This window comes from Homo sapiens, chromosome 18, assembly GCF_000001405.40.
Source record: "Homo sapiens chromosome 18, GRCh38.p14 Primary Assembly".
In the NCBI taxonomy this organism is placed as follows: Eukaryota; Metazoa; Chordata; class Mammalia; order Primates; family Hominidae; genus Homo; species Homo sapiens.
This window is the reverse complement of record NC_000018.10, coordinates 25284180-25299746: the sequence shown is the minus strand read 5'-3', so window position 1 is coordinate 25299746 and position 15567 is coordinate 25284180. Positions and strand designations below refer to the sequence as shown.

Below are 15567 nucleotides of genomic sequence, written 5' to 3'. Positions count from 1 at the left end.
AACTGTAGTCTTTTGTTCCCTTGTATCATGGGTCGCGTTTATAGAGTGGTATGTCTTTAATGTCCTAATTCTACTCTCAGATGTCATCAGGAATCTTTATTTATAAAAGAAGCATTAGTCAACTGTGGTGGTTTCTCACCCTGACCAGTATTGGGCAATCACTTTATGAAAGACCTTACAGTGTTGTTCCCCAACATATTTTAAAACCTGTTAGGGGTTTTTTGTATACAGCACAGTAATTGAGTTGTATTTCAGGTATTTGTCTCCTAATGAGAGTACTGCATAGTTACCATAATCTTGAATTTTCTAATTCTGTTTGTATTCAGAATTCTTCACAGTTACTTTTCCTAACTTATCTTCTTAGTCTGTGGAGAATTTTTGTCTTAGATAGTTGTCTTGTTCGCATTTACATCACTCACTGTCTTTCTCTCCTGCCCTCCTTCATTGGACTTTGTAGCACGAACATGTTGGAAGCAGTTTAGCTTTTGTTTTGTAAAGTTACATGTTAGTATTCTGTGTATGGTTTCCTACCCAGACCTCATGTGGCCCAAGCCCTGGTATATGTTAAGCAAAGGAAAGCTGACTTTTCCTGATAGGGATGAGTCAGTTTCCTTCTGCATCAAGATGTTTATACATGGGGACAGATGCAGAGGATGACAAACCTGGATCATGTGATCTCCAGATTGTTTTTCTTTGCTGGATTTCCACGTGGGAAGTGGTAGGATCTAGAATTTTGCTGCTACTGCGCCCAGGATGTCCGTTGTCCAAGGTGTATCCATGTTTGTGGTCTGGCTGTTTGGCAAGGAGCCAACGCTGCATTGTTTTGGGGCATGGTCACTCTTTAAAAGAGGAGTGTGATCCTGCTTGATCAAGTGAAACTGTAGAATGATTTATTTCACTCTGTGAAGCTATAGGTGTGTTAGTTACAGTTACTACCTGTGAATTGCTTCCAATTTTCACAGTATAAGATGGTATTTCCTTCTCCAATGATTTTTTTTAAAGCATACTAATTCTAATACTAGCCTTTCATCATGATTATTGTTGCTGAAAGTACATAGGGCCAATGTAATCCCTAGATTGGTGTATGATCAAGGAAATCATATAGTGTGCCACTTTGATGACCCGCTGTTCCATTTTTAAAATATAAAGTATGTGGGTAAACTGGATATTGAATACATTCTTAAGGGCGAACAAAAGTCCTAGGGATAGAGTGGTGGTCTGCTTCACTTTCTCTTGTGATAGGCAGGAAGAAGGAAGGATGTATAGTGTAATTGCATCACTTTATTTGAGACTTAAATTTGCTTTGGCAATAGCAGCTAGAGAGAGAGAGATGCCCTAAGGAGCCTAAAGTCTAACCTCAAATTTACTCTGACCCAGTCCACATGCCGAAATACAGGTAGTATATATCTGAGAGATATTCTGATTGTATGATTTGGTCCAAGGTTCATTAATTGGCAGAGACCTTTGACTAAGACATCATTTAGAAGAACTGGCAGATTAAATTGAAAGTATAGTTCAATGACTTCTATAAATTTTGTATTTCTTTGGGTGGTTATATACATTTCTTTCTCTCTGATTTAAATGAAACTGAAGACTAGTCTGTGCTCTCTGACAATAGTAACTCAACAGTAATTAAGAGAAGCAATTTTTCAGAATAATGAAAAGAATCTATATAACCAACATCGGCACCTTTTCATCTAATGCAGGTGAATAATTGAATATGTTGCGTGTAGCCCAGGACCTGGTACATAGAGAGTCCCCAGTAAATGTTTGATGAATGAGTAAATGAGTCTCAATTAGTGAATGTACTAATCTATTAATAACTCAATCAAAAAGTCTAAGAATGGGAGGGAAATATTTCTGTACTAGGATTTCTAAGGATTTATGAAGATTGTTATAATAAAAAGGGAAGTATTTGAAACTCATCTCAGTCTTCTAGCAGAAATAAAGACTAAATATATGAATGCCTTAAAAACAGAGTTTTTATCTGATAACTGGTAGAGAAACTGTTTATTTCTTTCTATTTGCACTTTCCCTAAAGGACCTATGGTTTGTGTCTATTCTGTGACCATAGTATAACAGAGTACGTATTTGTCTTCTTGAGGATAGCCATCATTCATTCATTTTCTCTGCCAGTAATATGAACTTTCATAGTATTACGATATTGTTAGTTTCTTAAGTCATACTGCATTTAGTGGTATTCGCATTCATTTTCTATATTTTCTTGTGATAAATTCTGTTATAGTCAAAAAATTTCAAAGCACCCTGGCAATGATTTATTTTAATATCTGCGTGAGACTAAATACACAAATAAGAAAGGATTTAATATGAATTTTTCATGGATTTGCTGTAACTTGAATATTGTGAATTGATTTTGTGCAAGCTGTCACAGACCTTCTGATTAGCACATACTTACTAGAACATCTCTGTTAGCAAAACTGGATTACAAAGTGTAAATGCCAGGTATTTGTGCTTATTCTGTTTAGCATTCTCATGAGTTTCTTTACGTATATCTAGTGTGTTACATATGTTTTGAAAGAGTACCTACCTTAGAGAATGTGGCTCTTGTTTTATGGCCCATTTTAATTCAGTATATATATATATGTGTGTGTGTGTGTGTGTATAAAGGGACATGTATATGTGTCTATATATATGTGTGTGTGTGTATGTGTGTGTATGGGAAAAATGTATAAAGAAATGGTTGCTACTTACAAGGCTTTACAATTTATGGGGTGACCACACATACACACTTAACAAATACAGAAAAACATAAGACTTTTTTCATTCATTCATTCAATACATATTTATTGAGTACCAGCTATGTACCAGGCACTATTTATTTCTTATACTGAAGATACAGTCTTAAACAAGACAGGAAAGTTTCCTGTTTCTTAGGAGCATATTGTCTAGTGATTATGATTAAGCACAGCAAAATATAGAGAGATACATCCTAGAGAATATAAATAAGCACCAAAATGTATAGTCAAGACATGAGAACTTAGTGGAGCTCACCATTTTCCAGGAAGGCCTCCTTCATGTCAAGGAAGACTTGAACTTGACCTTGAGGAAGAGAAGGTATTTGCAGAGGCTCCCAGAAAGAAAGTTAGATGTGTACACCATTGTGTGACCTGAGAAGGCCAAAACACTCTCTAAAGAACAGTGTTTGTTCAAAGAAAATTCTCTGATTCTCATTCCTGTTCCATATGCACCCTCCAATTTCCACAGGTTAAAATCTCAAGACTGTCAGCGATGGGGTTCTATTAGAATAAGTGTGACTGAGTATCTTTGAAGAAACAATCTCAGATCCCAAATCCATAGCAAGTCTAGGCACATAGTATATATACTACTTGCATATATGAAATTGATGCTGAAAGTGTGCAAAAGTATCTCTAGATAGAAGGATTCAAGTGCTATAGTATTACTAAATAAAAAATATTTGCAGAGAGTGGTGGCAGATGACAATAACTTCTTTTTGAGGAATTTTACTTTCTTGTACCTAGTGCTCCTATCAAGTGGGATATTTTCATCAGGGATGATAGAGCTACATAGAATTTTGTAAATTTATAGGAATAAAAGGGAATTAAATAAAATAGACTCTAAGTAACAAGGTCTAAAATTGACTAGGGCCATTGAAACAAAAAGATGGATAAGGAAGTGAATAGAAGGGCATACCTTCAGCTATTTCTGTGTTGTCTGTGATTGTGCAGTGCTTTTAACCAAGGTAACAAGGGCTAAGATGAAAGTAAAATCTCTTGGGCTTCATATCTGTCAAATTAGCAAAAAGTGTGACAATTGTAAGTGTTGCCACGATGTGGAGTAATAGACACTGCTGGCGGGAGTTTAAATGGATAGAACCACTTTGGGAAAATGGTTTGGCATTATACACTAAGTTTAAGGATATGTAAACTCTATGACTCAGCAATTTCATATCTCCATACCCTGGAGAAACAGGTATGTATGGGAGACAGGTACATGTACATGTATATTCATAGCAGCATTGTCTGTGATAGTCAAAACTGAAAACAAACCAAATGTCTGGTACACAGAATAAACTGCATATTCACATAATGGAATATTTTCTTTTAATGTATTTTATTTATCATTTTAAAAATATTTACTTTTTTTTTTTTTACTTTTTTGGGTACATAGTAGGTGTATATATTTATGGGTTAAATGAGATATTTTGATACGGGCATGCAATGCATAATAATCACATCAAGGTAAATGGGGTATCTGTCACCTTAAGCATTTATCTTTTGTGTTACAGACAATCCAGTTATACCCTTTTAGTTATTTTTAAATGTACAATTAAATTATTTTTGACTATAGTCATCCTGTTGTGCTAGCAAATACTAGGTCGTAAAGCATTCTTTCTAACATAATGGCATATTATTAGCAGAGAAAATGAATGAATGATGGCTATCCTCAAGAAGACAACCCCTGCAAATGTCGAATTGACCCAAGAAACAAGATGACAAAGAATACATACAGTATGGAACCATTCACATGGACTTCAAAACTAGGCAAAACTAAATTATACTGTCTAGGGTTGTATACATAGGTGTGATAACAATAAAAGAATGGAAAATCACTATCACAAAGGTCAGGTTAGTGCTTACCTTTAGGGTAGAAGGAATGGGTAGTGATGAGGAGGGACACTTGAGGACGTTTTAGGTGCTGACAGTGTTCTATTTCTATACTAGTATAGTAGTTATATGAGTGTTGTTTATAATTATATCAAGTTGTTGCTTTTCTGTATTTTTATGTAGGTATATTTCGTCAATTTTTTTTAAAAGAAACTATGTGAAAGAGATAAAGGATGTCGCAGATAGCAGTATAGAAAGATTTCTGCCCAAACCTGCTCCTTTTTTTTTTTTTTTTTTTTTTTTTTTTGAGACAGAATCTTGCTCTGTCGCCAGGCTGGAATGCAGTGGCACGATCTTGGCTCACTGCTGTCTCCGCCTCCTGGGTTCAAGCGATTCTCCTGCCTCAGCCTCCCTAGTAGCTGGGATTACAAGCATGGGCTACCACACCCAGCTAATTTTTGTATTTTTAGTGGAGATGGAGTTTCACCATGTTGGCCAGGATGGTCTCGATCTCCTGACCTTGTGATCTGCCCCGCTCAGCCTCCCAAAGTGCTGAGATTACAGGCATGAGCCACTGCACCTGGCAGCCTAAACCTACTTCTTAAGATGTAAGGCAATTATGCAAAAAGAGGACAGGTTTGCCATGTACATTTTCGTTACATTTGACTGTAATTTGCACATGGTGAAAAACAGAGTTTGCTACTAGTGTCTAGTAATTTAAAAACGAAAACCTGTTTTTCCAGAGTCAGAAGAAGACATCCTAGGCCTATAGAATCAAATTTGACAACTAATTTGTAGCATAATTATTTTCCCATGCTTTATGCATATTTATTGATTGATGCAGTCTCTTGAATTATACCTAGAAGCAAACTGACCAGCGGATCAGCAGAAAATTAACAGCAGGAAAAAAAAATTAGTATACATGTCTTATCTAGAGAAATGAAGAAATTTTTATTGCTTTTATCATTTAAAAATCATTTGTGAATTCCTCTTTAAGAGAAACCTTTAATAGTTTCCCAGTAGTACCAGCACTGCAGAGTATTATCCAGTAATGAAAGAGAATGCTAATAAAATCATTTCTTTTTTATATTGTAATGGATCAAAGTTGCAACTTCAAAATACCAATGATAAAAATGAACCTTTTAAGATTGTAGGTTACTGCTTGCCAAAGATAATATTCATTAACTAGAGTTCACATCTCATGCTCTGGATTAAAGAAATTATTTGCAAGCAAGTAAGAAAAAAATTATCTTTAATTTGCTAGTCATAAGGCACTACTTTTTTGAAAGAGTATTGTCTCTTAAAAATGGATTTTTAATTTAAATTATGAAACAGTCATAAAATATCCTCTGGTAGAGGCTTTGATGGTTTGCTTGAAGGTTGGATTGTATGCAAGAAATTGTGGAAGCACCATTTGCTAGAAATAAATTGCCAAATTGATTTATTTTCAAGACAAAGCCATACAATACTATTTAAATACCTAAAATATAAAAATGAACACTAACAAAGCAGCCAACGATTCCACAGTAGAGCATAAAATCTCCAAGTGTTGTGAAGAGTATCATAAATACCTATCTTAAGAAGCTCAATTAAAGTTTGGAAATAATAATTTTGTTGTTAAATCTCTAAAGAGCTGCAATAGTGAGATCACCTTGAGGTAGAATCCAGAAAAGCTAGTTTTAAATATTGTACTCCTGGAGCAATGATTGATTGATTCTCTAGTGTAAATTTCTTGGTAATGTCTGTTTAGAGACTTCTAAGAAATTAAGGAATTTGTGTGTGTGTGTGTGTGTGTGTGTGTGTGTGTGTATGTGTACATGTGCAAGCAAGAAAATCTGTTAATGCAGCAACAACCCTTTGTGGAGCCCTCATCTGGGCGAAAGGTAGAGGAGTGTTTGCTAATAATCTCTGTGTGATAGAAGATAGCTTATGGGTTTTCTTTAATTGTGTGGAATCATATGTATGATTTTTCTTTAATTATTGATTAAAATGATCACTAAGCAACAGGGTATCCAGAACTTTTTGGTTGTTTTATGTTCTGTTATCGCCTCTTCTTTATTTACCTTCAACTGAGAAAACAAAAATATTGACTTAGGAATAAAGGCAGAATATATATGGGAAAACCATTGGGCAGTGGACCCAGAAGTGACCTTGGAGATCATTATATACAGTGGATTCAAACTGTGCTTTGGGGATCTCTGGGGCTTCCTACAGTATGAGGAGAGCAGAGTGGAGATGGGCCCTGGGGACTGGACCCTGAGGGTCCTACCTTGGATTCAGGTTGGGTGGTTTTATTTATCTTGGACTTCCCCTTAAAGTTTTGTTTAAAGAACAAATAAAAACAGCTTGAAAGCCACTCCTTTAGTAAATAATCCCCTCATCTCCCACTTTCATGTTTGAATTAATTGCAGTCCAGTAAAGTTGTAGCTTGTTCAAGATTTCACTGCTGGTAGTGGCAGAAGCAACAACAGAAGCCACATGGTCATGTCTAATGGGGCTGTTTCCCTGATAACGTTTTGCTTTCCACTATCCATACCCACCTACTATATCTTGTATTTCTTAATGATACACGCCATTATTTACCACCTCACTATCCACTTCCCTGTACTTGAGCACAAGCTACTTTTGTGTCATGTCAGGGACACAAAAGAAAACACAGTTAGTCATGATGTTACAAAAAAGCTCTGGGGAGGATTTAAAAATACCAGTGTTGAGAAGAATTTGTTGGAAATGCCCTTTTTGTGAATATGTGCCATTATTGTGCCCTGACATTAAGGCAACTCATGTGAAATGTAAGTGCAGTGACATGGTACAGATGGTGACTGAGAGGCCCAAATCTCAAATAATGATGAAATGAAATTAGACATTTTTTTCACAGTAAATCTATGAGATTCACCAGAATAAAGTATCCGACATCTGAGTCAGCATCACAGTTTGATATGGGATACAGCAAAAAGTGGGAAACTGGCAGGTGACATGTGTAAGTGTTGGTAGACATGCTCATTTGACTTTATTCAAACCAAAGACTTGCCCTGTGTTTTCCAGGGCAAAAAATAATATGTGGCAGTTTAAGACAATAACCTTGGATAGCACTTTTTCTTCTTTTTATTCCCCTCCTTTTTTTCTTTCAATAAATATTCATTGAGCGCCTATTATGAGCCAGATACTGTCAGGTACTAAAATATTTCCTGTACCAAAAGAAGTTAAAAAGATGATTTTTTTTTTTCTTGGTGCAATGATTGGAACTTCCAAATGACTGGAATGAGGATGTCTTAAATCCTGACAACTTTTCAAGTACAGTTGTATCTAGAGAGGGTGTTGATTATTGTATTCTGGAAACTCAGAAATTCTATTTTCTCGAGTTTCCTCAATTGAAAAATAGGAATACCACTTGTAGAGGCTTATGTTGTATAAATAATTGCAAATATAGTATGCCGAGGGCTTGGCGAGAAGGGTGGCAGACGTCTACAGAGAGTAGAATTGTCTGCAGGATCTGTGGCATTTATTGACTCAGGGATCTTTGGGTGTTTGAATGCAAAACCCAGAGAGCTGACCTGTATTTCTCCTGGTGGAAGATGAGCCTCACAATTCAACTAACTGCTTAGGAGGAAATTAGGCTTCCTATGAATTAAGTATACGTTATTGTAATCCTATATCTGAAGCTCAAATTCATTACTTACTCTTATGTAGCTGTGTTTAATTCCACTACCTTTACCTATGAGTGACAATAGCAAGGGATATTGTCAAATAAGATGGCCACATTCAAACATTCCACATGAGGATTTGGGAGGCTTTCCTAAGCCAAAATGCTGACATGGAACATTTATTCATTTTATTGCATTTAATTGGTATCTTTTCATGTTGAGTGTAGAAATGGTCACTTTAATGTTTACATTTTTGTATGTTTTTACTTTAGACGGAGGGTAAAATAGAGAAATTGATGTCAGCAGTGGACAATTTTCAATGAGAAGAATTTCACTCGTGCATTATTTATGGCCACATGTGAAAGAAAGAACCTCCATTTCTTATCATTCAATTATATCTTGGTAGAATTCTGCACTGGAGCCCCAGTCATTTGGCAAGTGTATTAATAGTTTTGGTAATGTGACTAATGCTAGTCCTCTGTAACAGTAGTTCCGTTACTGGCCTTTCCTCAGGCACCCCACAAAGCTTTATATTTCGTCTAAATCAAATTTTGGGTATCATAAAATGGAGTACAGTGATGGAAATGAATTCATTTACCCATCCATCCATCCATCCATTAATTCATTTATTCATCTTTTCATTCAAGAATATGGCTTACTATCAGCTGGGTGCAGTGGCTCACGCCTGAAATCCCAGCACTTTGGGTGGCTGGGTGGGTCTCTACTAAAAATACAAAAATTAGCCAGGTGTGGTGGCGGGTACCTGTAATCCCAGCTACTCAGGAGGCTGAGGCACGAGAATTGCTTGAACCCGGGAGGTGGAGGTTGCAGTGAGCCAAGATCACACCACTGTACTCCAGTCTGGGTGACAAAGTGAGACTCCGTCTCAAAAAAAAAAAAAAAAAAAAAGAATATGGCCTACTGTGCATCAAACACTGAACTTCTACTTCAATAGAAGTAGAAATTGCTCTCTAGTTAAAATTTGGTAGCAAACAGTGGTATCAGCACCTCCCTGTCTACTCATTTGCAGTCAGTACTCTGGGCTCCCAGCGAGGGGCCCAGGAATAAGAGCACAGAATGCGTATTTCACAGGTGTTAGTGCTTGGAATGATTGATGAAATTTAAATTTGGAATAAAACACCAGCTTTTTAAGGTGTTCATAATCACCTAGATAGTCTGATATTAACCCTTAGATCAATTTTGGGGAGTAAAGTATAAAATTTGTCTTTCAGAGGAAGGCCAACAGCTGGATTAGAAGGTTCTGAATTTTAAGCTGCAGTTCATCTTGATACTATTACTAATCAAAGCGCCTTCTTCAGTTACTCTGGATGCTTATAAACCGCAGACTGCATGCAGTTCATCAATTTGGCTGCTTTTCCATAGCTGCTATGAAAATTGCAAACAAAATTGCTTTTCATTTTGCTTTGACAGGCAGTTTTAATTTTATTCATCATTTTAGCAAATTGTATAACATTTCAGTTGTGTGCAGCATTGCTTTTTGTCTTTTTTTTGCACTGTATTTATGCCGAAAATATGAAAACAACAATAAAGAAGAGACCAATAATGGCATGTTGTAGTTAAAAAGGGCTTATTAAAAGGATATTTTCTGCCTGGGTGAAAAACTTTCTTGAACACGTCATAAATAGTTTATAACACACAGAGCTACACTTTTATTGTGTGCGGAAGTTGATTGTCTAGCTAGCCGCATTTTTAAAATTAAAAAATAATTTTCCCCCCAATTTTGACTTTATGTTTCGTTTACTCAGACCCTTTCACAGCCTAATTAGGCAATGACTATCTATCTGAAGTCATCATAAAGACCAAGTAAATCTTGGACACACAAGAGAGTTGGGGGTAAGTGGGGAATGCGTTGGTTAGGGAAAGATGGAGGAAGCACATAAAGATTTATCTGATAACAAAGTATATACATTTTCATTTTGTAGAAAAATTACTAATACCATCACAGCCAATGGGCTGGTTTTATGATGCGCTTCCCGAGCTCTTCATTGTAGTTTCAGCAATATGAGAAGCCCTGCAAGCATGCAATAAAAACAGAGCCGACTTCGTGCTCGCCTTCCTCATTGATGCCTCTTGCACAAGGAAAGTTCTGTTCGCATAATCACTGAGGGCTGGTGGCATGCTCTCTAACCTTGAATGTGAAGGGACTGGGGAGGGAGGAGAATCCTTTCTGCCAGGGGTTTAAAAGAAAATAATGTTTATTCACAATACTTTTTAGGACATAAAGACTTTTATTTAAGATTTACAAGATTGCTGGTAAGGATGATTCATAACCGAAGTCCAGTTTTCCTTAGGGATTAACCACCATGGTTTGTTTTTTGTTTTTCTAGCATAGCAACCGAATTTCATCATTCATTTTGTCATTTAGCAATAGAAGACAACTTCACCAAAGAAGCTCACAGTACGAGTAAAATTGGAAGTAAATGGAAGCCATATGTTGTTGCTGTAATTTCCAAGGTTAAAAAAAGCTATAGTTTTGGCTATTGCCTTTTATTCTAAGGAGAAGGAAAGTTAAAAAAAATGCTTTTATTATCAATAGCCTTAAGTTTTAGAAAACATATTTATTTTGTTAATGGCAGCATGAAAAGCTCATGACCAAAGTGTTTGGAGCAAGGCTGATGTCTGGCAGTAATCCATTTCTTAACTTATGTACAACTGTGGAGTTATTAATGCTAGTCAGGTTATGTGCAAGGATTCAGGAAAATTCTTTATTCCTCATTGACTCCTGACAGTTATTGTACCTAGGAACTGGGTAACGTGTTCTGAAGTGAGCAATTATGGAAATGTTTACTTCACTGGCTGCATGTAAATGTGTGCAGAGAATGTACCAGAATTTTTCCTTGGGGGTATTTAATTCTCTCCAGGGCAATGAAAATCAAATGATTTCTTTTTTTTTTTTTTTTCAAAGCTGGGTTTTTTTTTTTTTAAGTGTTATAATGCAGCTGAATAATGATGAATACAGTAGAGGAAAAGGAGAGGGAGAGAAAAGAGGAAAAGAGAAAGAGTGAGCTACCCACGGATCTGGAAAGCGAATTTCCCTATGGAAGCTAAAACCCGAAAGGAAAGAGTTGAGGGTAAAGGTGGACAGAAGGCTAGCCCTGTCAGAGACTAAAGTTTGCTGGGGAAGATGAGGAAAATGACTACTGTCATATTCTGCAGTAGTACAGTGGTGCTTGTAATACATTTATCTTTGTGAGAACTTAAGCAATTGGCTCAGTATTGTTCACATCGGAGGGCATCACATTTGCTTGTTAATTAAATGCAGTATCAGTGCTTACTGTCCCTGAACAGTTGGGGGAAAAATCCAAATATGTATGCAGAGTTATGAAATTTCTATGGATGCAAATGGATTTTGTGCACATCACGCCCAGTTTATTGATGTTGCCCAGTAGAGGTTTTTTCTTTTCTTTCCCTGTCACCTATCAGGTTTACAACTCTTGTTGCTGAAACTATTGGGGGGGCATTTTCAGTATTATATCTTTTCTGAGAGGAAAAAAAATCATAAGAATTAAGAGATTTCATGTGAATCAGAATGAGATGTTTTCAGCATTGTGACATTTCTAAAGCAAACGAGTTCTGTGAAAGTCCATTGTAGACAGATACAAGCAAGTAGAATCCTAATGCTTGGTCAAGAAGTTGGATACTTATCTGCGAATCTGAAGTCACACAGTCCTTAGTGAGAGGAAACTGGCTTCAATTTAATGCTCTTTCTGAGGAGGATGACTAGTTGTATCAAAGTAATTTTTTAAATTTCCTGCAGATTTGTTTTTACAGTAGTGAAAAAAATATTAGTTTAAATTGGCCTCTGTGGTCATGTGCCTGTCATTGGAATAGAGTTAGATTACATTAATAAGGAATAGTTGCTGACCTTTATACTCTCTTTTTTTTTTTTCTGAATTTCTCCTGAATTTCTTAAGGAGGGGTTTCATAAAGAGGGTTTTTATGTCTTGCAGAAAATTGAGTTTTGTAGACATTACCTAACTCTTGATTTGTCACACCGGGATCAATAACATTTCGCTGCTCTTAAACACACAGAATCACAGGGGACACATAATGTTTTTTATAAGTGCAGTAAAGTTAACGTGTTGTTGAAACAAAAACTCCTCTGACAGTCCTGTAATAAGTACACTCTGAAACTAGCAAATTATCTGTAATACTAGGAAAGGCAGGAAGAGCGCTTAAGAGTACAATATGTACGTTGTTGGCATTAAGCGCTGCAAGAATAAGAAATTAGGATTTGCTGCTCTCTCCTCAGTTGCATGTCAGAATGATTACGGAGTCAGTTTCCTCAGAAGAGAAGCCGACCAGGCCCCCCAGGAGTGTTTCTTGAGGCCACGTTTTTACCAAGTTTGCTTGGTATGTTTGGTCTCTTTGTTCTTTGAGGATATTCTGTATTAGTTACAGAGAAGCATTTTCCTTATAGCAAAGAAGGTATTTTAAGCTAGATAAGAAAAATGGGCCATTTTCTTCTCCTGTCCCCAAAGTCCATGTCTGGTCCATGAATTTTCTTTTGGAGTATTCACTGATATTCTAAAGATGTCTTCAGCAAATATAAGTCCCATATGATGTAATTTGCAAAAGATATTTGGAATTGAAACCACCCTTGTATGTGCTTTCATTTCCTCAGTCCAGGGAGTCCGAGGATCTTGTGTTAGATTAGACTAGGTGGGCACGCTTTTAACCGCTGAGGTGCCTTGGCCTAGACTCTGCGTCTTCCCCTCCTCCCCTTTTCGTTTAATTAAATTTCTGATTCCCCTTTCCAGACCTTCAAATCCCGTTTTTCTTTCCTCCTACCCAAATGGTGTTTAGTTGTTACTCAGCTTCTATTTCAAGAAATGAAAAAATAGAGATTATTTTTAATATCTGAGAGATATATAGTCTATGAGATGTGACTGATTATTGTATGACCTTTGTTTTTTCTCAACATTTGTTTTTCTTTAGGAATAAAATAGTAGCTAAGATTGGAAATCTGTTTCAATTGAGAAGAATGGGTGTTTTGTTGGTGGCAGACATTGGCTCTCCTCTGTATGGTGGTAGGTAGGGCTGGAAGCTGATGATGGCTGATGTGCAAATCTTGTCATTTTATGCAAGCTGGTGCTGTTCATCCTCCAGCTCTTTGCAGAGAATGTAGTTTTATGTTCATTTAATAATTATCCATTTTGGTTGTACTTGTCGGGGAGAGCTTCTTGAGCCCCATCAGTTTTTCAGAGAAGCACCACTCAAGCTCTTCTGCTGAAAATGTTTTTCCTTCCCTCCCTTCACTTCATTCCACTCTTCCCCTTATCGACTCTCTCATCAGTGCCAGAGCTCTTCAGTATTCCACTCCTGTCCTTTGTGAAGTGATTTTGCCCAGACACGTCTGGCTCAGGGTGAAGTGCCCTCCCCTGAGAGCGCGCACTGCAGCCCCAGGTCGCCAGCACCATGAATACATTATTATCCCAATTTCCATCCTGTTGCCACGGCAGCACTTTTGGAGCTGCTGGGTTATTAAGTCGTACATCACTAATACCCTGATATGAGCAGAAGTTGGATTTAATATCGGCCTTTGATCAGATTACCTCCCAACAGTCAGCTGTCATTAGAAAATTCCTTTGCTCATTATACCCTCAGAGCTCTGGCCTGTGTAGCAAAAGGGTGGCAGTCCTGATACATGGAGGCAATTTCAAGCCTGGGCCTTGCACTGTACACTTAATTTATTTTCTGACCTTTTTGTGATTTGGGGAGATTCTGTATAGCCATGCGTGCATGTGCGCGCGCAGGCGCGTACGTGTGTGTGTGTGTGTGTGTGTGTGTGTGTGTGAGAGAGAGAGAGAGAGAAGTGCAACTACAAAATCTGTCTGTAGTTCTGTAGGTGGTGGATAGAGGTACGTGTGAGGGGGTGGTTGTCTTTTGCCAAGTGATACTATACTTTGTTGGAAAGTGTCTGTTTTCTGCCTGTCCTCGGGTAATGTATAAAACATGGTGCTTCAGGTAGAGATGAAGGGTAAACTGATGTCCCCCTAAATGGCCAGCCTGTGTATGCACCTAACACTTCACTGAGCAATCTGTCAACATGTCAGCAACACATGTTTTATAAAAAGCCTCCAGTGGGAGCAAAGGCTCCTGCCAGGGCTTAGGAAATGCTTTGAATTCAGCAGATTTCTATTGCTGGAGTCCCCCGAGGTTCCTTTTACAATGCCTACATTTCAGAAATTTGAACTTGGGACCCTTAGGGGGTTCTCTCCGAATGCCTGAAAATGTAGAGTTATATTGTTGCGTGTCCCCAAGCGGTCTTTACTAATACCTGAATTCGGAGAAGCTGGAAATTACAGAGCTCCCCAGGGGAAGCTTTATCCACACCAGGAAGAAGAGAATAACTCTGCAGGGAGATTGCTTAATGCATTGCTGAAATAAAAGAATTTGAGAGAGATGGGTTGAAGTGTTTTTTTTTTTTTTCCCTTTTCTGGCCACTCCTTCAGCTTAGCTAAGTCCTTAAAGACAAAGTCAGGGTAAGGAAGCAGCTGGGCTCTTTTTAATGAAATTTTAGATGTGGCTTTTGAAATAGTCAGATGCCTGATGCCTCCCTGTGTGTGTGTGTGTGTGTGTGTGCGCGCGCGCACGCACATGAGTGTTTGTGTAGTCTCTCTCACTAGAAACCTCTTTTGTTTACATGCAAAAAGTTGTTTTCATTTTTAGGTGCATCATCAGTTTCATCTTGTTTCCTTCCAGGCTTAGCTGTTTCTTTTTTTATACTCCCAATGTACCTGTCTCAGTTACTTGGAAATATTTCTTCATCTCTTTCTCTTTTTTTATGGTGCTTTTCTTTTATTACATCTGCCTGTCATGCTTTGTACTCTCCCCTTTTCATAACTTGTGGTGTTGCTACTTTCCTTTCGAACTCTCACTGCTTTATTGAAGACTTCTTTATGCCTATGACTCTGCCTCTCTTTTTAATTTTCCTCCGGCCCTCAGCGCTCTCGTCTCAACTCAGATTTTGGAAATACTTGGGTATTTTTTGGCTGCTTTCTGATGAGATGACTTTGCTGATTTTTTTGTGTGACGTATTGTTATTTTGCTGCTGCTACATTTCATCAAGACAGGTTGCTTTGACAATTTGGAGTAGATCTGCAAGCTTCAGACTCGGTTGTGCATTCATTCAGGAAGTAAAGGATAGCTAGAGCAGTGCGTTTAGTGTGTGTATGTGTGTGTGTGTAAATGTTTATCATACATACATAGGGCTTGAGGGCAAGGGTGGGAGTGTCATTGTTGTATTTTAAGTGAATAAAAAATTTTGAAGTCCATTTCTGTTCTTTATTATCTCTGGTAAAGAGAAAGAAAAA

General features: G+C 37.4%; 1 protein-coding gene across 11 annotated transcripts in view, besides 2 other annotated features; it reads left to right on the top strand.

The window, feature by feature from the left end:
* Positions 1–15567, top strand: part of ZNF521 (zinc finger protein 521) — a 290243-nt gene that overhangs the window by 52420 nt on the left and 222256 nt on the right. The gene's annotated exons all lie outside the window — the stretch shown is intronic.
* Positions 10276–10476: a silencer, noted in NCBI's record as "peak3079 fragment used in MPRA reporter construct". NCBI's record gives its function as "represses an SCP1 promoter by STARR-seq MPRAs in K562 erythroleukemia cells {active_cell/tissue: K562}" and the evidence as "EXISTENCE:reporter gene assay evidence [ECO:0000049][PMID:32103011]".
* Positions 13254–14958: an enhancer, noted in NCBI's record as "VISTA enhancer hs369". NCBI's record gives its function as "enhancer in: hindbrain (rhombencephalon)[8/9] | midbrain (mesencephalon)[8/9] | heart[5/9]" and the evidence as "EXISTENCE:transgenic organism evidence [ECO:0001131][PMID:17130149]".